The 22785-nt window shown below is 43.9% G+C and overlaps 1 protein-coding gene across 3 annotated transcripts in view, besides 4 other annotated features; it reads right to left on the reverse strand.

Moving 5' to 3' along the window:
- The window catches only part of PAPSS1 (3'-phosphoadenosine 5'-phosphosulfate synthase 1), a 106569-nt gene extending 101171 nt beyond the window's left edge, over window positions 1–5398 (reverse strand). Inside the window, exon 1 of one of the 3 annotated variants that reach the window (NM_005443.5) lies at window positions 5284–5398. In NM_005443.5, coding sequence (NP_005434.4) covers window positions 5284–5343 — 60 coding nt within the window. In that variant the 5' untranslated portion in view covers window positions 5344–5398. The other 2 variants (XM_011532401.2, XM_011532400.3) reach the window with 2 other exon arrangements.
- Window positions 4651–4710: an enhancer, noted in NCBI's record as "active region_21789". NCBI's record gives its function as "activates an Ori minimal core promoter by ATAC-STARR-seq in GM12878 lymphoblastoid cells {active_cell/tissue: GM12878}" and the evidence as "EXISTENCE:reporter gene assay evidence [ECO:0000049][PMID:35858748]".
- Window positions 5341–5590: a silencer, noted in NCBI's record as "silent region_15612". NCBI's record gives its function as "represses an Ori minimal core promoter by ATAC-STARR-seq in GM12878 lymphoblastoid cells {active_cell/tissue: GM12878}" and the evidence as "EXISTENCE:reporter gene assay evidence [ECO:0000049][PMID:35858748]".
- Window positions 6701–6850: an enhancer, noted in NCBI's record as "active region_21790". NCBI's record gives its function as "activates an Ori minimal core promoter by ATAC-STARR-seq in GM12878 lymphoblastoid cells {active_cell/tissue: GM12878}" and the evidence as "EXISTENCE:reporter gene assay evidence [ECO:0000049][PMID:35858748]".
- Window positions 19235–19765: an enhancer, noted in NCBI's record as "NANOG hESC enhancer chr4:108655227-108655757 (GRCh37/hg19 assembly coordinates)". NCBI's record gives its function as "activates a minimal SCP1, AML or CMV promoter by ChIP-STARR-seq in primed H9 embryonic stem cells {active_cell/tissue: H9 hESC(primed)}" and the evidence as "EXISTENCE:reporter gene assay evidence [ECO:0000049][PMID:30033119]".

A 22785-nucleotide genomic window follows, 5' to 3' on the forward strand; every position in this document is an offset into this window, starting at 1 on the left:
AAGCATATTGACACTTCAAATCTGAAGAAGCAACTACGCTAAGGGGAGGCTAATACTGCTGGACATGCTACCAGAAGCCAGGGTGCAAAACTGCCCAAAACTAAAATTTCAAAGTATCCACTCACTCTGGAAATTTCCTGTTCTTGGGAACAGAGTAAAAATACCTGAATACATAAACACACAGATAAGTAGAAAAAAAAAATAGCAGCCATCACAAAGCTTCATCTAGATCTGCAATGTCCAATAGAGCTTCCTGAGATGATGAAAATGTTCTATACTGTGCTGTCCAATTCCTGTGGCCACTAACCACATACGCAGCTCTTGAAACGTGGTTACTGCAACTAACAAATAGAATTTTTTACTTTCTTAATGTTCATTAAATTTCAGTTGCCACAAGTGGATCGTGAACCGGACAACACAGATCTAGACCTCACTATCATTCGTCTTATTGCTGTTATTGGTAGAAGTTTAAGCTTCCCTTTTCATCAGGCAATTTTTTTAGTATCATCTTCCCAGGGTAGAAAGATCAATTCTCTGTTAAACCTGGGGATGGGGGAAATAAAAGACCAATGCCTGCCCCTGACCACACCCAGGCCAATCCTCTGAAGGACAAGTACATTGGCCTCTTGTTTGGCTGTCTGTTCCACTTCTCTGTTCTTATTTCATTTTTGTATCATCTGAGTATTCAGCTAAATCCAGAATGTGCTGCTGGCCTTCTACGAAAAACATCCACATATAAGGAGACAAGCTGTTTGGGAAAGATAGAATTGGTAAAAGGGAAAATTATTTCATTCATTTATTTGGTTTAATTAACTGTCTCCCAGGTAGAATGTAATATCCATGAAACAGGACACTTTTCTGTCTTTTTACCACTGCATCCTCAGGACCTGGAACAAAGGCACATACAAAGTTTAAGTGTTAAATATTTGAGGAGCTAATAAATAATTAGAACAAGAATAGTACTCATGTGCCAGGAACCATAGTTTTATAAATATATTAACTTCTTTAAACCTCACTATAACCCCATATGGTATGCACCATTAGCCTCACTATGAGTTATGTTTTATTATCTCATTACAGATGAGGATATTGAGAGATGAAGGAGTTAAATAATGTTCCCAAGATCACCCAGATGGTAAGTGACAAAACCGTAATCTGAATCCTCCCACATATGGAGCTTATTCCGTTACTTAAGCTTTTGTAAGATACTAATGAATTATCTAAGGATTTCAATATCAGAGCTACCGAGCTACTTTGCATCTGCCCCTTATCCCCAATTCTGTTATATCAGGAAAAGCTCAGTGTAGATACAAAACATCTATAATGAAGTATGATCACAAGATACATAATAGCAGAGAGAATGCAACATAATGCAGAAGAGCACAAACAATTCAGCCCACGAGCAAGTGAACATATGTACCTATGAGGGCCACACATTTGTTAAGGTAAAATGGTCCAAGGCTCTAAACATTTCAGCCCCTGACAAAGGGTAACAGGCATCCCAGGGAGAAGGAAAGGCTTGTGTAAAACCATGAGGATGTATGATATGGACAGAAAGTTGGGCTGGAGCTATGGAAATTCAGGGAGTTGTGAAAGGTGAATGGAAAAGCAAACCAGAGACTGCATATGCTTCTTAATGTCACGTCCAGTTTCAAACGCTTCTTTTAGGACACTACTCCACTGTAAGGCAGGTCCAACAGGGTTTCAGCCCAATATGATTCTACAAAATGGGTGAATGACACCTGGGCCTGAACTGAGTGTCCCAAATTTCCCTCAGCCCAACTAACACATCCCCAAGGGCAGATGAAAACTGGTCCCATTGGAGAAAGATTCAATTGGATAGAAAATGATATTCATTATATCTGACGCTTTATCAGACTGAAGTAAGAGGCAGCTCCAAGAGCAAGTCAATTTCTTGGTTTTTCTTTACTATTCCCACAGGTATATGGACAACTTTAACTTCCTGTAATTCTAACCATTTCCCAGAGCTGTAAGACTACATTTTCCCATCTCTTTGCCTATTGTCTCCCACGAGTACACTTCCTTTACCTAATCCTTAACAGGAGCTATTATCCAAAGCTTAGTATTTGGTCTCACATTTACTTTCCTTATATTCTTTAACTCAAATTTAACTATGAAACCTTTACTTCCAACCTCAGCACAACTCAATTTCTGTAACTATGTTATCCACATGTCCCTACTATTTGAAAAGTGGATAGTATGAAGTGAAATGTGTACTAACTGTAAAAAAAAAAAACTCCAGATTTCTATAACTCTTTATTAATTATGATAGTGTTGAACTTATATTAACATTGAAAAAACACTGAAATGATAGCATTTGGGATATAGTAGGTTAAATATATTATTGAAATTTATTTCGCGGTTACTTTTTACTTTTTAATGTGGTATCTAGTAAATGTTGAATTATATACATGGCTCATATTTCCTCTATAGACTATCTCTACTAAGGCTGTCCCTCAAATGCAACAGGTTTAAAATGGGTCCAGCACTAACAAGCTCCATGACATCTCTGTGCCTCAGTTTTGTCATCTATAAAATGCAAATGCTAATTGTAATAGAGGATGATAACAGTAAGAGCTAACTCTAATTGTCACAATATCCCTGTGAGGCTATCATTCTCATTTTATAGATAAGCACATAGAGGCATAGAGAAATTAAGTGACCAACCAAAAGTTACATAGTTAATAAATAGTGGAGTCCAGATTTCAGCCCAGGCAGTCAGCTCCAGGGTCCTGCTTTTAACCACTGTCTCTCATAATATTCACCCTCAGAAATGTAACAAAAACTCAATGGGCTAATATAGGTAAAACATTTCAAACTGTTCCTGGCACACACTAAACTCTCCTTTGTGTTTAACTAATATCACCCTTACCCCCGTGCCCAACCTACTTCCCAATTTCCACACAGGTAACAACCTTTCTCCCCACTTCCCAGACCAAAACTTCAGGATCATCTTCTAACATTCCTCCCTTTTTCATCCCCTAAATCTAGTCGGTCCTCTCAACTCTTCCTTAAATGTTTTTAATGCAGCTACTCCTCTAGTCCCACTGCCACCTTACCCCAGCCCTTCAGCCCCTCACACTGGATGAATTAACAAGAACATAAATAGTGCTCATGTGCCAGGCAGGCTTCAAATCTATTAATTCATTTAAACCTTACTATAACCTTGTCTGGTCTCCAGGGCTTCCCCATCTGGGTCCTACCAGGGTCTACATTTCTTCAGCGGAACATTCTTCCTGGATTACCAATTTTATCCTGTGATAGGAATTTTAAAGGTATATGGGTTCTTCACACTTGTGCCTATTAAGATGATTTAAATATGAGAGAGGAAGAGATGACGGGTGTTCCATGAGGGAGAGAAAAATTTACAAGGATCAGAAAATTTAAAATTCTAGCCCCATCAAAAATCCCCCATAGAATCAAGTCTTCTCTGCAGCCAAACACAAGAGCATCACGGAGCCCCAGCCTCCCTATTGAACCTTACCTCCACTTCCCAACAAAAACTCTCCAGGGCAGTCAAACAAGTTTCGTCAATGTTTCTGGAGTAAAAAAAATAGTAATTTTTATTCCCAACACTTATCCATGCAGTTCCCCTCTGACTCAGAAATCTGAAATCCTCCATAAACCCTCCCAAAACGCCCAGGCGAAACTAATCTCTCCTCTAAATTGCAATAAAACTTCTGTCTTACGCCACTCACTCTGGACCACAAAGACATATTCACCACTTGGCAAATGTCACAACCCCAACACAAACCATGAACTACCAGAAGGCAAGCAGTAAGTCCCACATTTTTCACCACCATGTCTAGCACAAGTCTCTACATAGAATACGCACCATGTGGCAAATGTTAATAAATAAATGAGTACATAAATGGACAATGTAACAGAAATCATCTGTAAATACCCCAAGTAAGCCAACCTTATTTCCCTAACCGTGAAACACCTTAAGGTAAGAGAAGCGAAACTGAGTCTGAGTTTCAAGGCAGTGGTTTCACCGCACATTCAAATTCATGATCTGTCTTCTTTGTTCATCAAAACAATCCCGTGAAGTACATACTATTATACCCTTAAGTCAACTGAGGTTCGAAAAAGTAAAGTGACTCTCCTCAAGATCACACAGCTAGTAAATGGCAAAGCTGGGATGAGAGACCAGGCCAGGAGTCCAGCGCTCTTTCCACTGTTCTAATTCATCTTTTAAATCTCCTTCCCCTCCTTACCATCTATAGAGTTAAATAAAAGGAGAGAGGAATCAGTAAACAACTCATGATAACAATAACAACAGATGTGGTAAATTAATGACTTCCAAAGAACATTTGCCTGAAATTGCTTGTTTTTTTTTTCTTTGATTCATCTAGGGCAAGTAACGTTTTGGGAGACATTGCATTTAAACCTTATTATTCCATTGGACTGTGAAATAACGTTTCCGTCTAAACTTAAACCAGTGCCTTTCCAGACTCCAAAGATGGGCCCTTCCCTGCTGCACACTTACAAAGGAAGATAAGGCTCTTTCTCATCACAGAGAAATTAAGGAAGTAAGCAACGTTATGAGGACACAGCACTTTACAAAGTCAACTGGCAGTCATTACTAAACGTTATAAAGGACTGGTCCCATACCTGACTGTCACCAGGAATGGAGTCTTCCAAACTCCTACTTGTTAAACATTCCGATTTAACACAGAGACACAAAGAACCTCAGTTCAGGGCAGTCTCAACTCATGAATGACCACATTGTTGGGTACTCTCCTTTCACACTGAAACTCAGAAATGGAAAGACACGGAGATGGACCCAAACCTGGGCCAACCGCACTGGCAGAGCCAAGAAAAACCAAGAACGCGTCGAAGGCGCCCGCCTCCGCCTTCTCTGCACATCTTCAGGCCACTCCAAGGTATGCAGGAAGCTCCTGTTTCTGCAGCCGCAGGTTTCAGCACCCGGAGGTTTCAGCAAGCGCCAGTTCACGGGTGAAGGATTTTCCTGGGGGTCTTACCTGAGCGGAGGCGCTGGGGAGGGGGGGCGTTCTTCCCACGAACGGTGGCTCGGACCGCACGCTGCGCCAAGCTAGGGCGAGATCCCCACCCTGCGCCGCGCCCCTCTGCCTCGCAACCACCCACGGCCCCAGCCGGGAGGCGCCGCAGCCCCGGAACCCACCTCCGCGCTCCTGGAAGGATGGATGCGGAGGAGGCGGGAGAGAGGCGGCGGCTCCGGAACGAGCTGCTCCCACAGCCCCTCCGCTCCTCGCCGTCTCGCCTTCGTCCCCAGCTTACCCAGTTCTGCGCGTTATTGCTCAGTTTGACTTTCTTGCACAGGCTCCCGGGGATCTCCATGACCGCGGAGCGCGCTGAGCAGCCGGGGTTCTCTGCGCCGGGAGGGTAGCAAGAGGAGGGCAGGCCAGCGAGCGGGGCGGGGCTGGAGGGCGGGGCCTCCTCGCGTCGGAGCGGGCGCGCGCTGACTTAAGCACGCGCCCGTGCTCGTGGCCTGGGTTGCGCGGCGCATGCGGCGCGCCTCGGAAATGGGTCCGGGGCAGAGGTCTGTGGGGAAGGGCGAAACGCCGGGATAGAACCGGAGGTAGAAGCTGGGGGCGGAGCTTCAGCGCTCGCGCCGGCGCGGGCGCGCACGGCGCTCCTCCTTCCAGATCCCGATGAAGGGGCGGGGCCTGGAATGCAGTCGTGGAACCTCAGGTGCCTCTGCGGCACCGAGCCTAGCTCTGAGCTAACGCAGATCTCTAAGAGCGAGTACCAGCCGCCGGGAGAAAGGCAAGGGGAGTGCGCGGCTCGCCGCGCGCGGCACTCCCTCAGCAGAGGCTGATTGGGAGGACGCTGACGCGGCCTCTTGCACCTGTGGCTACTCCTCCACAGACCTGGCTGCCGACCTCCTGTCTGCCCCTTCTGTGCCCATGTCACCCTGGCCAAATGTTTTAAATGTTTTACAGCTTTGCAAAGGGAAGAATTGATTTACCGAACAGCTCATTCTCCACATTAAAATTCTACTCAAGACACAATTTTTTTTCTTTTTTTGAGACGGAGTCTTGCTCTGTCGCCCAGGCTGGAGTGCAGTAGTAGGATCTCGGCTCACCGCAACCTCTGCCTCCCGGGTTCAAGCGATTCTCCTGCCTCAGCCTCCCGAGTAGCTGGGACTACAGGCGTGTGCCACCACGCCCGGCTAATTTTTGTATTTTTAGTAGAGACGGGGTTTCACTATGTTGGCCAGGCTGGTCTCGAATTCCTGACCTCATGATCCGCCCGCCTCAGCTTCCCAAAGTGCTGGGATTCCAGGCGTGAGCGACAGCGCCTGGCCTCAAGACACAGTTTTTAAAAAGATATAATAAAAGCCCGATTTCTTGACATCAATAATTAATATCTCAACCTGGATTAGTGATTACTTATAAGGTGCCTCCCTCTCCGCTAGGAGACCCCACTTCGCATCAGATTTCTGTGCAGTGCTTCTTACCGACCTACACCGGAAAGGGGCTTCTGTATTATTAAGAGCTACTCAGGAAATACCTAGAGGACTGAAATCCAGGACCGGGGAGGCCGCAGGTAACCCCGAATAGAACTCCCGCCTACGGAGGACATTTTCAAATTCACCTAATTATTCCAGGGCTAGTTCGTAGGAGGATGGGCTGGGGGCATGACAGAGTTTCCTCCAGGAGTTATCTTCCCCACACCCCCCATAACTCTGAGTTCTCTTTTCCGCAGCTTGCCCCTGGCACCAAAAGAGTTGCTTGCAGCTCTGCCCCCCTGTGACACAGCCGCCCTCCGCCCCTGACCCCGCCCATCACCAAGACCTGAGACTGCTGCCTGTTAGTGACTAGCAAATTAGCCCCCATCACCAAGACCTGAGGCTGCTGCTGCTGCCTGTTAGTGACTAGCAAATCAGCCCCCATCACCAAGACCTGAGGCTGCTGCCTGTTAGTGACTAGCAAATCAGCCCTCCATCTATTTGCCCCACTGCTACTGTCTTAAATTAGGCCTCCCCTATATCCAGCCTGAGTTATCATTAAGCCCGTTCACTGGACATCCTCCCAGCTGTGCAGCCGCTCTCCACATCCCCGCCACACACCCCATTCTTGCACCTGCTGTCAGAGCGGTATTTCTGAAACAGAAATCTGATCTTGTTACTTGACTACTTAAAATGTGAATGGTTCCCTTCAGCTTTTTTTCTAGGGAATTTTCAATCTGGGGTTCATACATAGAACTGAATTTCAATATAATTTCAAATTCTGCCAATAACAGGAATGAGCTTGGAAGAAGATCTCAAGCTTCATATGAGAAAATAGGGCCACATCTGAAGTTAGCCATTGCTCTGAGTTCTGGTTCTTATTAGAGGGAAATGGTATTTAGATATAACGATCTGGCTCTAGGAGTGCTCACTGCTGTGAGTTTGACCTTATTTCTAGTAAAAGACTTTTTTTAAGGTAAAATATATCATAAGTTTACATTGATACTGTCCATCCAAATTCATGATTCCAGATATGGGTCATGCAAATGAGCCAGAAACATCAAACAGGAAACATAACAAAAAACTGTCAAAAGCTACTCGGATTATGTCAAAAGGACTCAGAAACCAATTTAAAGAAATTTTTCCATGTCAAAGATGGGAGAATTAAAGCACTAAATGGACTAGAACTACAAAATATTAAAACATATCAAATATGTTTAAATCTAGGTGTTTGTAATGATGATGATTTTAAAAAAAATTATTGTCACTCTTAGAGAATGCTAGGAAACCAACTCATTATTTTGAAAACTGGTAAATAAAGGGGATGAATTAAGCATTTACTCTGCTTTCCCTGGACTGTCTGGGACCCAAAAAATTGATAAAGAGAAGTTTCTCTTTACAGAAGTACCACTAATAAATAAAGAAGAAATGATATCATTTTAATATCACCACTTTTCATTTTCTACTGAAATAATGGATAAAGACAATGATCCTCTGTATTAGTCAGGGTTCCCTTAGAGGGACAGAACTAATAGGATATATACATATGAATGGGAGTTTATTAAGTATTAACTTACACAATCACAAGGTCCTACAATAGGCTGCCTGCAAGCTGAGGAGCAAGGAGAGCCAGTCTAAGTCCCAAAACTGAACAACTTGGAGTCCGATGTTCAAGGGCAGGAAGCATCCAGCACAAGAGAAAGATGTAGGCTGGGAGGCTAGGCCTATCTTGCCTCTTCACGTTTTTCTGCCTGCTTTATATTCCCTGTTAGCGGTTTAGGTGGTGCCAACTCAATTAAGGGTGGATCTGCCTTCCCCAGCCCACTGACTCAAATGTTAATCTCCTTGGGTAACAACCTGACAATGATCAATATTGCATCTTTCAATCCAATCAAGTTGACCCTCAGTATTAACCATCACAAGTCCACCCCTTGACAACTTGAACCCATACACATCTCCTGAGATCATTCATAATCTTCAAATAAGACAATAATAAGGTCATAATTATGTCTAACATAACTGAACTGTCCTTTGTACAACTGGAAATGCAGTCCCCAACTCACATACTATTACATAAAGTTAACAATACTTAAATGCTGATATGAAGTCAGTGAATCTCATATCACATGATAAAGGAAAAGGAAATAAAATGAAGATATTTTCTTAGTACAAGTGTATGCATGCACAAACATGTTTTTAACAAAAGAAGGAGGAAATTCTCATGACAATCACAGTCCTCGTTTCTGCAGCTGGTCATGTGCTCATAGCTGGTATTGATGACTACCTTTTTCTACTACCCATTCTGTATTCCCTTTGCCTTCAGCAAGTACCTGAACAGGTGGTGGTTTTTTTTTCCTGGTGGAGTGACCCAAACCTTCATTCCTGAAGGGTCTGGGCCATTTGTAGTCCTGCCTGGATTGGGCTGTTGTAGTTTCCCATTGACCTTAATCACAGGGTAATACTAAGAGACGAACTAATGGATCTCCTGTGTTCCATGTGTACTCTTTCTTACCTCCACTGTGGAGTAGTAGACTGATTGATTTCATCTTGATAGTCTGGGTCAGTCACCCCAGCTAACATTGTAACTCCCTTCTTAGTCTGTTAACTTAGAGGTAGGAGGAGCCCAAAGTGTCCAGGTGGCAATCTTAACTTATAGTTTAATGGAATTGTTTTGTCTCCTGGTGGCAGCGTTTCTCCCTCTGGAACTAAGACCTCTAGACCAGCAGAATGTAATGCCATAGAAACAGGAAGCAAAAATGTTGCTAGTGGATCACTAGGGGTGATGGTGAGTGGTGCCACTTCCACTTCCACCCCTTGATTCCTGGACCCGTGATTCCTGGCTACGGGAGAAACAGTACCATATATTGGATGCTGATTCAGAGCCTACACGGTCTTCTGGAAATCTTTGCCCCAGCCCTGCAAACTATTGTCACCTAGTCGGCATTGTAGTTGTGATTTCAAAAGGTCGTTCCACTGTTCTGTCAACCCGGCTGCTTCAGGATGATGGGGAACATGGTAAGACCAGTGAATTCCATGAGCATGAACCCACTGCCACACTTCTTTAGTGGTAAAGTGAATGCCTTGGTCAGAGGCAAAGCTGTGTGGAATACCATAATGGTGGATAAGGCATTCCGTGAGTCCACGGATGGTAGTCTTGGCAGAAACATTGCATGCAGGATAGGCAAACCCATATCCAGAGTAAATGTCTATTCCAGTGAGGACAAACCTCTGCCCTTTCCATGATGCAAGAGGTCCAATATAATCAACCTGCCACCAGGTAGCTGGCTGATCTCCTGAGGAATGGTGTCATATTGCGGGCTCAGTGTTGGTCTCTGCTGCTGGCAAATTGGGCACTCATTGGTGGCCATAGCCAGGTCAGCCTTCATGAGTGGAAGTCCATGTTGCTGATCCCATGCATAACCTCCATCCCTGCCATCATGGCCACTTTGTTCATGGGCCCATTGGGCAATGACAGGGGTGGCTGGGGAAAGAGGCTGAGTGCTGTTAACAGAATGGTTCATCCTATCCCCTTGATTATTAAAATCCTCCTCCACTGAGGTCACCCGTTGGTGAGCACTCACATGGGATATAAGTATCTTCACAGTTTTTGACCACTCAGAGAGGTCCATCCACATACCTCTTCCCCAAATGTCTTTGTCACCAATTTTCCAATCATGCTTCTTACAAGTCCCTGGCCATTAAGCCAAACCAGTGGCTACAGCCCATGAATCAGTGTATTATTGCACATCTGGCCATTTCTCCTTCCATGCAAAGTGCACAGCCAGGTGCGCTGCTCGAAGTTCCGCCCATTGGGAAGATTTCCCTTCATTGCTGTCCTTCAGGGATGTCCTAGGAAGGGGCTGTAGTGCTGCAGCTATCCACTTTCGGGTGGTGCCTACATATCATGTAGAACCATCTATGAACCAGGCCCTGATTTTCTCTTCCTCTGTCAACTGATCATAGGGAACGCCCCATGAGGCCATCAGTGCAGGCTGGGGGACAGAAGGCAGGGTGGCAGGAATGGGGACCATGGGCATTTGAGCCACTTCCTCATGTAACTTACTTGCGCCTTCAGGACCTGCTCAAGCCCTATGACAAATATACCACTTCCATTTGCTGATGGAATGCTGCTGTGCATGACTCACTTTATGGCCAGATGGGTCAGAAAGCACACAGTTCATGATAGGCAGTTGAGGTCACATAATGACTTGATGACCCATAGTCAAACATTCAGTTTCCACCAAAGCCCAGTAACAGGCCACAAGCTGTCTCTCAAAAGGAGAGTAGTTATCTGGAGAATATGTCAGGGCTTTGCTCCACAATCCTAGAGGCCTCCACTGTGATTCACCTATGAGACCTACCAATGGCCCCAAACAGCCTCTGTATCTGCCACTGCTATCTCAAGCACCATTGGACCTGCTGGGTCATATGGCCCAAGTGGCAGAGCAGCTTGCATAGCAGCCTGGACCTGTTGCAGAGCCTTCTCCTGTTCTGGACGCCACTGAAAACTGGCAGCCTTTCGGGTCACTTGATAAATGGGACAGAGTAACACACCCAAATAAGGAATGTATTTCCTCCGAAATCCAAATAGGCCCGTTAGGTGTTGTGCCTCTTTCTTGGTAGTAGGAGGGGCCAAATGCAGCAACTTATCCTTCACCTTAGAAGGAACATCTCGACAGTCCCCACACCACTGGACCCCTAGAAATTTTACTGAGGTAGAAGATCCCTGAATTTTAGTTGGATTTATTTCCCATCCTGTGGCACACAAATGTCTCACCAATAAGTCCAGTGTGTTTGTTACTTCTTGCTCACTTGATCCATTCAGCATAATGTCATCAATGTAATGGACCAGTGTGATATCTTGCAGAAGCAAAAAGCAATCAAGATCTCTCCAAATAAAATTATGACACTAAGCCGGAGAGTTGATATTCCCCTGAGGTAGAAGAGTAAAGGTATATTTCTGGCCTTGCCAGCTGAAGGCAAGTTGCTTCTGGTGAGCCTTATAGACAGGAATGGAGAAAAAGGCATTTGCCAAGTCAATGACTTGGTACCAGGAGATGTGTTAATTTGCTCAAGCAATGAAACTACATCTGGTACAGCAGCTGCAATTGGAGTCACCACTTGGTTAAGCTTACAGTAATCCACTGTCATTCTCCAAGATCCATCTGTCTTCTGCACAGGCCAAATGGGAGAGTTAAATGGGGATGCAGTGGTAATCACCACCCCTGCATTTTTCAAGTCCTTGATGTTGGCACTAATCTCTGCAATCCCTCCAGGGATGCAATATTGTTTCTGATTTACTATTTTTTGATTTACTTTTTGTTTGATTTACTATTTTTCTAGGTAGAGGCCGCTCAAATGGCTTCCATTTGGCCTTTCCTACCATAGTAGCCCTCACCCTTCCAGGCAGGGAGCCAATGTGGGTGTTCTGCCAGCTGCTAAGGATGTCTATGCCAATTATGCATTCTGTCATGGGGAAATGACCACAAGATGAGTCCAGGGACCCACTGGACCCACTATAAGTTGGACCTGAGCTAAAACTCCATGAATTACTAACCTCCTGCTCTTTACAGGAAACACACGAGGGGAAAAGAAAAGGCACACACAATACTTTTAAGTGTAAACAGACTTTATCCCAAGTATATGGCAATACACATATAAGAAACAAATCACAGTGGGAAAGGGAGAGGGTATATATATATACATATATATATATACATATATATATATACAATATATGTATATACATATATATATACACATATATATATACACATATATATGACTGTGTATATATATATAAAACTGTGTGTATATATATGTGTGTATATATATACACACACACACATACACACTCACCAAACTATGGCGGAATCATCACCAAACTGGGATGCAACAGCCTAGGCTCCAGAGTTGGCCACCCATCTGTGCACAGACGAGGAGGAGTCTTGTGGAGCTTCAGTGTGGTCTGGGACCCTAGCTTGTTTATAACGAGTTGTTTGGCATGAGTCCCAGTCACGAGGGCCCTTTGTGCCTGGCTTCAAGGAACACAAAAAGGTCAACTTGTTTTTGCGATTGTCTGTTGTTTTTCAATAACTAACATACAGGAACAGATTTCTGCGAAACAATGCTGGATGAACGCCTCAAGGGGTTCATGCAACCTGTTACGGGACTTGGTGACTGTTGTTTCTGTCTATGTTCAATTGAGTTCAGATTTAATGTTTAACTTTTCCTCCACACCTCCATAAGCCCCTACTTTAACTGGAGGACCACAATGACATTTGGGTCCCCTGGAATCAATGTCAGCTCAGAGCCAGTGTTCGGTAGTCCCCAAAATATCTGATCATTTCCCTTTCCCCAATGCACAATTACCCTGGTAAAAGGCCAGAGGTCTTTTTGGGGAAGGATGGGAGAAAAGATTCATTGCATACATTGTCAGTAATGTAGTGGGGTCCTTGCTCAAGGGAACTGGGCCTCCCCTTCATTCAAGGGGTTCTGGGTCTGTAAACCAGCTCAAGTCTGGAAATTGATTGAGGGGCATGAGCCTCTGTTTTTATAATTCAAATTAGTCTTTTGTCCATTCGACCTAGAAGTTTTCTGTTTGTATAATTTAAGTAAGAATGCAATAGGCTTTCTATCAATTTCACTTCTAGGAACACCATGATTAATTAGCCAATGCCAGAGCTCTAAACGTGTCAGACAAATTCTGATTGCCACTTTGTCTCTGTTGTCCATTTTGTTAGCTATGCCCACCTTACCTTTGACAGATGAGTGCCACCACTTGGCCCCTGCCACCTCGGTATCCAATTATTTCCATTGTGTTTAAATTTTGTAATTGAGTGACTGTGGTCCCACTGTTAGATCTGACATACAGAGAAGAGCAATTACAGGGCTCTTCAAAAATGCAGGCGCTGCCCTCACAAATCTATTTCACAAGGCATTGGTCAAGAATATATCTTCTGGATCCTTCCAGCTGGGATGAGTAGGTCTAAAGTGACTAGTCCATTCCACCATCCCAATCTCCCTAAGCCTTTGGGTCCCTTCCTCTACATTAAACCAAGGGAGATCAGGCATTTCCAGCTCACTCACAGTGGGCCATCTTTTAATCCATATTTCAGTTAACCAAGCAAATAAACTATTAGAACCTTTTTTAACTCCCTGAACTGCAACTTTAAATGCAGAATCCCTACTTAGTGCACCCAAATCAATACATTCAGTCTGATCCAACTCTATGTTCCTTCCACCATTATCCCACACCCTTAATATCCATTCCCATGCTTGTTCTCCAGATTGCTATTTATATAAATTAGAGAACTCAGGCTGGGCACGGTGGCTCACGCCTGTAATCCCAGCACTTTGGGAGCCCGAGGCGGGCTAATCACGAGGTCAGGAGATCGAGACGATCTGAAGGGGGCCTGCCCCTCCACACCTGTGAGAATTTCTCGTAAGGTGGAGATGAGAGACTGAGAAAAGAAATAAGACACAGAGACAAAGAATAGAGAAAGAACAGTGGGCCCAGGGGACAGGCACACTCAGCATGTGAGGACCTGCACCGGTGCCAGTCTCCAAGTTCCTGTAGTATTTATTGATTACTATTTTCACTATCTCAGCAAGGGGAGTGCAGCAGAACAGGGTGAACAGGATGATGGTGGGGAGAAGGTCAGCAGGAAAACATGTGAGTAAAGGAATCTGCATTATAAATAAGTTCAAGGGAAGGTACTATACCTCGATGTGCATGTAGGCTAGATTTATGTTTCTCTTTACCCAAACATCTCAGTGTAGCAAAGAGTAACAGAGCAGTATTGCTGCCAGCATATCTTGCCTCCAGCCACAGGGCAGTTTTCTCCTATCTCAGAATAGAATGAATGGTCGGCTTTACACCAAGACATTTCATTCCCAGGGACATGTGGGAAACAGAGGCCCTCCTCTTATCTCAACTGCAAAGGGCCTTCCTCTTTTACCAATCCTCCTCAGCACAGACCCTTTACGGGTGTCAGGCTGGGGGGGATGGTAATGTCTTTCCCTTCCCACGAGGCCATATCTCAGGCTGTGTCAGTGGAGGGAAACCTTGGACAATACCCAGGCTTTCTTGGGCAGAGGTTCCTGTGGCTTTCCACAGTGCATTGTGTCCCTGGTTAATAGAGAATGGAGAACGGCAATGACTTTTACCAAGCATACTGCCTGCAAACATATTGTTAACAAGGCACATCCTGCACAGCCCTAAATCCCTTAAACTTTGACTCAATACAGCACATGTTTCTGTGAGCACAGTGTTGGGGCTAAAGTTACAGGTTAACAGCATCTCAAAGCAGAACAATTTTTCTTTGTACAGATCAGAATGGAGTTTCTTATGTCTTCGTTTTTCTACATAGACACAGTAACAGTCTGATCTCTCTTTCTTTTCCTCACACCATCCTGGCTAATATGGTGAAACCCCATCTCTACTAAAAAATACAAAAAAATTAGCCGGGCATGGTGGCAGGCACCTGTAGTCCCAGCTACTTGGGAGGCTGAGGCAGGAGAATGGCGTGAACCCGGGAGGCAGAGCTTGCCGTGAGCCGAGATGGCACCACTGTACTCCAGCCTGAGAAGTGAGACTCCATCTCAAAAAATAAATAAATAAAAATAAATAAATAAATTAGAGAACTCAAACAGTTATTTTCCAGTGTAGCGCACCTCCCCATCGGTCACACTTTCAACCTCACCTCTAGGGGTCCGCTGGGACTTCAGTCTATTTACAGATCTAGAGGCAAACAGAGGTGTTGGGGGTGGCTTCTGAGAAAAACCATCATTATCTTGACTGGCAACTGCCTCAGGGGAAGCCATCGCTGTTGCCTCAGGCAGTGCAGGATTTATCTCCTCAGACAAAGGTGAAAAGGCTGATGGCAGCATGGGTCAGGGAGGGGATGTTGCCACTACTGGAGATGGGGAAGCTGTTTCTTCTGGCAAAAAAGGTTAATCAGAGTTTACAAACTCAGTGTCCCAGCTTCATCAGGCCCCCCCCCCCACCCGCCCCAACACACATCCCCATTCCAAGTTGCAGGGTTCCATTCTTTTCCAATCAATGCCCTCACTTTAACAGTAGGCACCTGGCGAAGCTCTGCATGCATCTTTCATTGCAGGTCAGCCACTCGCATGATAAGAGTTTGTGTCTGTTTTTCCACAATTATAGCAGTTTCTCTGCAGGAGATAAGAATCTCACTTAGGGCAATCTTAGCAGACTTGAGGCTCAGTATCTTCTTCTGAAGCTGGGAGACAAAATCCCTGAGTGTATCATTTTGTTTTATCACTTTGTCCACTGGACTTAGGAGCAACCAACTAGCTTCATTATGCTCCTTGGTTCTCCACATATGGTCAAGGGTATTCTGTATAGTCACTAAACTCCTTGCCTCTCACGAGCGGTGAATCAGGAGTGTCAAATGTATTTATTTGGCGTAACTCTCTAAACAGTTTCTGCCAAGGACTATCGGTGTTCTCCATATTATTAGAAGTAGAGTCCTTAGCATTTTTTGGTCTAATCATATTAAGAAGACAACTCCAGAAACCCCAAAACCAATGAAAGAACTCCATCCTTAATATTCTATTCCTCTAGAACCACTCCTGGTACCAAAATCTGTATTAGTCAGGGTTCTCTTAGAGGGACAGAATTAATAGGAGATATATATACATATTTTTTTTTACTTAAACTCATAGATATATAGATATATATATAAATGAGTTATTAAGTATTAACTTACACAATCACAAGGTCCCACAATCACAAGGTCCTCAGCTGTCTGCAAGCTGAGGAACAAGGAGAGCCAGTCTGAGTCCCAAAACTGAACAACTTGGAGTCTGATATTCAAGACCAGGAAGCATCCAGCATGGGAGAAAGATGTAGGCTGGGAGGCTAGGCCCATCTTGCCTCTTCACGTTTTTCTGCCTGCTTTATATTCACTGGCAGCTGACTAGATGGTGCCCACTCGATTAAGGGTAGATCTGCCTTCCCCCCAGCCTACTGACTCAAATGTTAATCTCCTTGGGCAACAACCTTATAGACACACCCATGATCAATATTGCATCCTTCAATGCAATCACATTGACTCTCAGTATTAACCGTCACATCCTCAATGGCTGCAAATATCATGAAAATAAAGAACACCATAACTTTTTGCCTCCTGATGAAAATCATGAAAAAGTCAAATCAAATCTGGTTCTAATCAAGTCTTCAGGACAATTTATAGGTTTGCAGTTAATGCAGAGGAAAGAGGAAGAGGTGAAAACACCACAAATGCAATTAGTCAAACCCAAACTCTGGAAAACTACAACATTAATGACCTGAGTTTTCAGTAATTCAAAGATAGGAAAAAATAAATGAGGAAAAACTAAAGAATAAAATAAGATATAAAATAAAAATGGAGCAATTAAAATATTTGAAACATATTTGAACACTGATCCAAACAAAAGAAATTTTTTAAAAATTTATGAGACTATATGGGAAATTTGAAGAGTTTCTGAACTCGATATAAAAGACTTACTTTTTTGGTGTGATAAATAGCAGTGTTATTATATTTTTTAAATAAGTCAGTTAAGAGTATATTAGTCCATTTTCCCACTGCTAGAAAGAAATACCCAAGACTGGGTAATTTATAAAGGAAAGAGGTTTAATTGACTCACAGTTTCACATGGCTGGGGAGGCCTCAGGAAAGTTACAATCATGATGGAAGGGGAAGCAAGCACATCTTACATGGAGGTAGAAGAGCAAACAACAGGAAAAACTGCCACTTATAAAACCACCAGATCTTGTCAGAACTCACTCGCTATCATGAGAACAGCATGGGGAAAACTACTACCATGATCCAATCACCTCCTTCCCTCCACGTCAAGATTACAATTCAAGATGAGATTTGGGTAGGGACACAGAGCCAAAACATATTAGTGAGATATATGCTGAAAGATTTATCAGTGAAATGGCAAAGCCATAAATATTCAGGAACCAAAATTGGTTTCCTGAATATGGTAGCAGGAATGGGGGAAAATGGTTGATACATCTTTCAGAATGCAGAGCAAAAATCCCAAGAGATGGGAAATACAGCATAATTTTTTAGAAAAGAAAGAAAAGAACAGTCCAGGAAATCTAACATCCAAGTATTAGAAGTTCTACGAAGAAAAAAAAAAAAAACAGAGAAAACGCACAGAAGGAAATAACCATGGCAATTATTTAATGAAATTTCCTAGAACTGAAATGCCTCCCTGAATGCCTAACTCAACAGATAAAATCAAGCACGGAAAAAGCATAAAGCATAGCACCATGAAGTTTCAGAATACTGTTATACAATAGTTCGAAATTGTTTGGAAACCCTGCAAGCCTCTAAAGAGAAGAAGAGTTCATGAACAAAGAGTCAGGAATAAAAATGAATTAGAAGTTGTCAAGAAAAAGACTGCAAGTTAGAAGACAAATGGACCAATACCTTCAGAGCTCTGAAAGTATTTTCAGTTAGAAATTGGAATTGCTATATACGCTTTCTCAAGGAAATACTGGAGGATATGTTCTGTGGCAGGCCAATTCTCCCTGACAATCACACAGACAAGCCTGCATAGCACTTCAGTTACACAGACTAATTTCCACAGAGCTGCCTTAACATTGAGCAAATAGTTAAGCCTAGGGAAATCAGTGCCCAGACATCAGAGATAGAAGTGAAACATATGGTCAGTAGGAGCCTTCCATGGTCTTCTCCCTAACCTGGAGCAAACCAAAATAATAGAGACAGTCTTACATTCCCAGTGCCAGGACCCATATCTGAGACAAGTCAAGGTAACAGAGGCAGCTGTTTGAACAGATTCATTGGAGAGTCTAAGGCAGCTCTCCAGACAAGCTGTAAAGGACATAAGATAGAAATAATCACTCTGGTACCACAGTAGGCAGGCCTTGAAGGTACTGGGGCCCTTTTAATCAGACTTTTGCCTCTGACCTTCTAGTTGAAACAAAATTAGTTACCAATAGACTTAGGCAAATGCTATACTGCATGTAGGCACATAACTCCAACCTATATAAGCACCAAGAAAGTTGTAACACTTTGAATTGGTCTGGTGGAATTATCTCCAGCCTTCTCTCTGTATCCAGTTACAGCAATAAATTCCCTTCTTTCCAAGTTTGTCTGCTTCTCATTATTGGGCCTCGAGAAAACACAGCCAGATCCAGCTTGGTTCCAGGAACAAAAATTTTGTCGAGCCAGCCAGGAGGCCGCCAGGATGGTGGCTGCCTTTGATGCTGGCAGTTTGCAATGAGACAGTCGTGAGGAAACTCCCAGCAGCTGCTGGGTAAGATTGTCCTGGGGACTCTACTGAGGGCTGTCCCTTGGACAAAACCACACATCCTTTTCATCACCTGGGAAAGAACGGAAGTTTGGCAGAAGCAGATGTGCTCAAAGAGTGAGGAAAACCAGACCATATATTATTTCCTTATCTGGGCTATTAAGCCTTTTGTTCAGTACCATTAGGAAGATAATAGGTCTTTTTTGTACTCCCGTTTGCTGTTTGGTTTGCAGGCCTTTTTCACCTAGGTGCACTTCCTTCTGTGTCTATCTGACACTATCTCTCTGTCCGTGTCTATCTGAAACTATCTCTGTGTCTGTACCTATAGCCTTGCTGAATTTAAGATGGGGAATGCTGCTCCCTTCCCCCAGGGAGCCCTCTGGGAAAGATCCTGTTGGATTGGAAACAGTATGGGTACCCTCCCATTACTAAAAAGAAAATGATTCACTATTGTAATACGGTTTAGCCAACATATGTTTTGGGATCTGGGGAATGGTGGCCAATTTTTTGATCTTTAAGCTACTTTACTATCTATCAGAACAGTTTTGTCAGTGTCAGGGAAGACAGGCAGAAGAGCCTTATGTACAAGCGTTTATGTTACTGCATAATCAAGAGGTCAAAGGAAATAAGCTAATGGTGCAGCACTCAGACAAGGTTTGTCTCAAGTCCCAGGGAGAGGGAGAAAAGGAATTAGAGACTCAACAAGTGTTAAATGTACTTAACCCAGTAGGTGGCGACCCAGAGGGAGCCAATGCCCCGCCACTGGCTCAGAAGGGGGAAGGGCCTTCACCCCTGGAATAGGAGGAGGCTGCAAAAATAGTCTCTCCCTCCCATAATAGACAAGGCACTAATTTTGACTGGGGAGACACTGAGCCTGGAGCAGGGCAATTTTCCCTCCAACAATATCCTGTGGGAGTTCATTAGCAAGGAGCTCCGGCAGGATATTATTGGGCATATAGTCCTTTTCTATGTCTGATTTACTGAATTGGAAAAATTCCAATTCTTCCTACAGGGTGGATCCCCAGAAAATGACCGAATTGTTTACTGCTATCTTTGCTACCCATCGCCTTACATGGGCTGATGTGCAAGCCCTCCTAAACATCATGCTCACGGCAGATGAGAGAAGGCTAGTGTTAGAAGGCTAGTGTTAGAGGAGGCATAGTGCCTTCATGATGAAAGCCCCAATGATAGCCCAGACCTTAAAGAGGCAACTCCCTGAACTGACCTAAATTGGGATCCTAATGAGGCAGGTGGAGCTGGGATGAATCATCTGGAACACTATAGAAAGTGCATCCTAAAGGGCATTGGATCAAGGGTGCCAAGACCTGAAAGTCTGAGCAAAGTATAGGCACTTTAGCAGACACCTATTGAGGACCCCTCAGAATTTATGGAACAGATCTGTCAGACATATAGAAAGTATACAGAGTTAGACCCACAGGACCCTGAAAACATTAGAATGGTGAATATGACCTTTACAGGGCAAAGTGCCCCAGACATTAGGAAGAAACTACAAAAAGTGGAGGCGGCTGTTGGAATGAAGCTTCCCAATTAATCAACATTGCATTCAAGGTATATAATAGCAGGGAGGCCAAGGAAACCAAGGCACTTCAGCAGGCAGCTGTACTCCTGGCAGCTGCAGGAGGAAACCCGAGAAAAAAGGACCCCCAAGGCAGAAAGGGAAAATAGAAAAGGACCAGTACGCTTACTGTCAGGAAATAGGGCACTGGAAGAGAGACTGCCCCAAGTTAACTCAGAAGGAACCCAGGTCACTTATGGCTGTCAAGCCCAAAAATGAATCCGAGGAAGATTGAGGGTGCCCAAGACTCCCAGCAGCTCCAACTCTAACTGACATCAAAATTTCCCCAAAGGAGCCTTGGTTAAAGTTGATACTGGTGCTAGTTATTCAGTAGTTAATACACCAATAACTGAGCTTTCTGATACTTTCTGTCAGTATAGTCAGCGTAAGTGGGCAATTGAAATCAGAACAGTTCCTGCAACCCCTTTCATGTAAAGTGGGCAACAATTTGATAATTCACCAATTCGTTTATGTGCCAGACTGCCTGATACCTTTACTTAGCAGAGATTTACTATGCAAGTTAGAGACTCAGATCATCTTCCACCCAAGAGAAACGTCAGCTGTGTCTTCAAATGCCTCCAGAGCATGGACTGCAGCTGCAAGCACTGCTGGTGAGCACTGAGGCCCCACACCCTGAGGTAGAGGCAATTCCTCAAGAAGTCTTTGACAAGGTGAAGCCAGAGGTCTGGGCATGAGACCAACCTGAGAGGGAAATTAATGTGAGTCCAATAAAAAACAAACTGAAGGAAGGGCCCCAACCTATCCGGAAAAAAGCAATACCCCTTAAAGAAGGAAGTCTTGGAAGTTATCCAGCCAGCATTAATCTGGTTTTTGCAATATGGCTTAATAAGACCTTGTCAGTCCTCATACGATACTCCTTTCCTGCCATTAAAGAAGCCTCATTCCCATAAGTATAGGTTTGTGCAAGATCACAGAGCTATTAATGATACTGTGGAAGACATTCACCCCATCGTGGCTAACCCATACACTATGTTTGCTTCACTACCTAAGGATCACGAATGGTTTACAGTGCTAGACTTAAAGGATGCCTTCTTTTGCATACCAGTAGAAATAGAAAGCCAACTATTGTTTGCTTTCGAGTGGACAGACCCTGAGACAGCTGCACAGTTTCAATATTGCTGGACTGTGCTCCCTCAAGGGTTTAAAAACTCCCCAAGTATATTTGGAGAGGCTTTGATTCAAGACTTGAGAGGCTTACAATTAGAAAATGGGGTGCTACTTCAATATGTGGATGATTTATTAATTTCCAGCACCTCAAAACAAGAATGTCAAGAAAACACTGTAAAGACCCTAAACCACTTGGCAGCTTGTGAGTATAAAGTTTCAAGTAAGAAGGCCCAAATATGTAAGCAAACTATAGAATACTTAGGGTTTTTGTTACAAGAGCAGCTAGAGCCCTGACGGTGGAAAGGCTAAGTGCAATTGCCTCCATCGTGATGCCCACAACCAGGAAGCAACTAAAGGGCTTCCTAGGAATGGCAGGATTTTGTAAAATCTGGAGTCCCAATTATGGGTTAATAGTAAAGCAGCTATATCTAAAAGGAGCAGACCATGGGAAATCGAACACCAAATCACATTTGAGCAACTAAAGCATAAATTAATATCTGCTCTGGCTCCAGGACTGCCAAACCCACACAAACTTTTCCAACCTTATATGCATGAAAGACTAGGTCTAGCACTCTGGGTCTTAACACAAAAACTGGGAGAAATACTACAGCCTGTGGCCTATTTTTCAAAGCAGCTCCATACTGTGGCTAGGGGCTGGCCCCCTTGTCTTAGGGCAGTAGCCACGACCTGCTTGTTGCTCAAGGAAGCTGAGAAGCTGACTCTAGGTCAGCCCACCATGATTTCTGTGCCACACTAAGTCTTGGCGTTGTTAGAACAAAAGGTGGCTATTGGCTAACAGCGGGCAGATTGGGCCAATATCAGGCTATCCTGCTCGATGACCCTGCAGTGAAACTGCAGACCACTGGAACCTTAAACCCCACCACTTTGCTGCCACCTACTGGGGAATCAGAGGAACTAATACATGACTGCCCAGAAGTTATTGATCAAGTGTTTTCTAGTCCCCTAGATTTGAAGGACACAGCCCTCTCATGTGCAAACTGGACATTGTTCGCAAACAGGAAAAGTTTAGTCATTAATGGAAGAAGGAACGCTGCCTATGCTGTAGTGAGTCTCAGAGGGAATAGAGGCAAGAACTCTCCCAACAGGGACTTCTGCACAGAAAGCTCAGTCAATCGCCCTTACCAGAGCCTTGCAACTGTCCCAAAGTAAGAGTGCCAACATCTACACTGATTCCAAATATGCCTTCATAATAGTCCATGCACAGGGTGCTATCTGGAAAGAAAGGGGCCTACTGAAGGCTGACAATACTGAAATCAAATACGCAAAGCAAGTGTTAGAGCTACCAGAGGCAATAAAGGCCCCAAGAGAA

The sequence above is a fragment of the Homo sapiens genome, chromosome 4 (genome assembly GCF_000001405.40).
Source record: "Homo sapiens chromosome 4, GRCh38.p14 Primary Assembly".
Lineage (NCBI taxonomy): Eukaryota > Metazoa > Chordata > Mammalia > Primates > Hominidae > Homo > Homo sapiens.